Source organism: Homo sapiens, chromosome 14 (assembly GCF_000001405.40).
Source record: "Homo sapiens chromosome 14, GRCh38.p14 Primary Assembly".
Taxonomy (NCBI): domain Eukaryota; kingdom Metazoa; phylum Chordata; class Mammalia; order Primates; family Hominidae; genus Homo; species Homo sapiens.
The window spans coordinates 96,125,166-96,126,783 of NC_000014.9; the positions used below are offsets into that span (position 1 = coordinate 96,125,166).

At 43.0% G+C, this 1,618-nt stretch overlaps 1 annotated feature.

Moving 5' to 3' along the window:
- Positions 1,205-1,374: an enhancer, noted in NCBI's record as "active region_8983". NCBI's record gives its function as "activates an Ori minimal core promoter by ATAC-STARR-seq in GM12878 lymphoblastoid cells {active_cell/tissue: GM12878}" and the evidence as "EXISTENCE:reporter gene assay evidence [ECO:0000049][PMID:35858748]".

The window sequence follows — 1,618 nt, forward strand, 5'->3', positions numbered from 1 at the left end:
TTGTCAGTCCTACTAAGATATTTGAACCTTATGGTAGAGGCAGTAGGATAACAGGCAAATTTTATGGGTTCCTTTTAAACATTCTATCTACGGTGTCATTATATCTTCATAGGGAAATGCATTTATTTTTCAATATACGCTATGGACACTGATGCTTACATCTTCCACACAGGAAGTATGCAATTTATGGATATGCAGCTGGGTTAGCAATCCATCCAAACAAGTTCTGTTCATCGGTATGTATGGATTCAGGTGTTTCATGTGTGATACCTAATTTTGTTTACACAACAGCACTGAAAGACAAGCACATTATATTAGCATTTCCTGCATAATAAGCTACTCCAAAACTAGTGACTTTAAATAAACAACCACTTATATAGCTTACCATTTGGCAGGTAGACAGTTTGTATTGGGCTCAGCTAGGAGATACTTCTAGCCTTACCTGGGTTCACCTTTGCCTTTGTACCCAGTGCTGGGTTGACTGGAGGCTGGCTGATTTAGAATGGCCTTCCTTGGAATGGTTCCTTTCAGTTCCACGTGTCTCTCATCCTCCAGCAAGCCAGGCCAGATTTCTCGCATGGCAACTGGGCAGAGTTCCAAGACAGACATGTGCAATGCGTCTCCTAGAACCTAGACTCAGAACCAGCACCTATCATTCCATTGACCAAAGCAAATTAAAAAGGAATGGGAAATGGACATCACTTCTTGATAGGAGGAACTGCAAAGCCCACTGCCAGTGGTGAGCATTTGGGGAGGAGTGGAAGATTGTGACCATTTTTACAATTGACTACAATTATTATCTCCATTTTATGTAAAGAAAAACCAAGATTCAGAGAAGTTAAGTAACTTTTATAAGGTCACACAGCCAATGAATTACAATGAGCTGCTGGGCTTTGATTCCAGCTCATTTCTACAAGAAAATGTGGATCCTCATTTTAAGGAACTTATGGTATTTTATGCTGCTTAATCCATTCTTCCTTCCCTCTATAATGTTACAGAATCAACAGATCAGGGGATGAAGGAACAGAAAGTTTATGAGCAGTAGATATTTCTGAAATGATTTCAAATGTGACAGATTATTTCCTGAGATATAAACAGAAAAGAAATTCACTTCCTTTTGGTGGCATCGGCGGCTGAAAATGTCCCCAGCAGAGATTCCATTTGCCCCCACATTTCCTTATCCTTCATAAGAAGGGAAACATAAAAACGCCAAGCAGGCTCTTGACCCAGAGCTGGCTGAGGATACAGCGCACACATCCATGGTTGCATCTGCAGCGTTTGGGTGCAACCACAGGCAGCTTCAAAGGGAAAAGGAAGGGGAAAAAACCTTCTCTCCGTAGCTAGGCTACCAGTTCCTGTGTAGATTTCTCAAGATTCAGGCAAGAGGACATGTGGAGAACACATATTTAGAAACATCAGGTGGTTGCCAAAACAAGCCAATTTAGAACTGAGCGTGACAAATGCACATCTGAGGTTGAATGTCACCTGGGGAACCCACTGTTTCTGAGATCTCCACAATGGGGTGGGGTGAAGCACAGTGGAGAATGTGCTCACTGAGCACCCGGTCAGCCTGGGTGGGGTGGGCACAGCCCGGTTGCTACAGGACATGGGGCAAGGC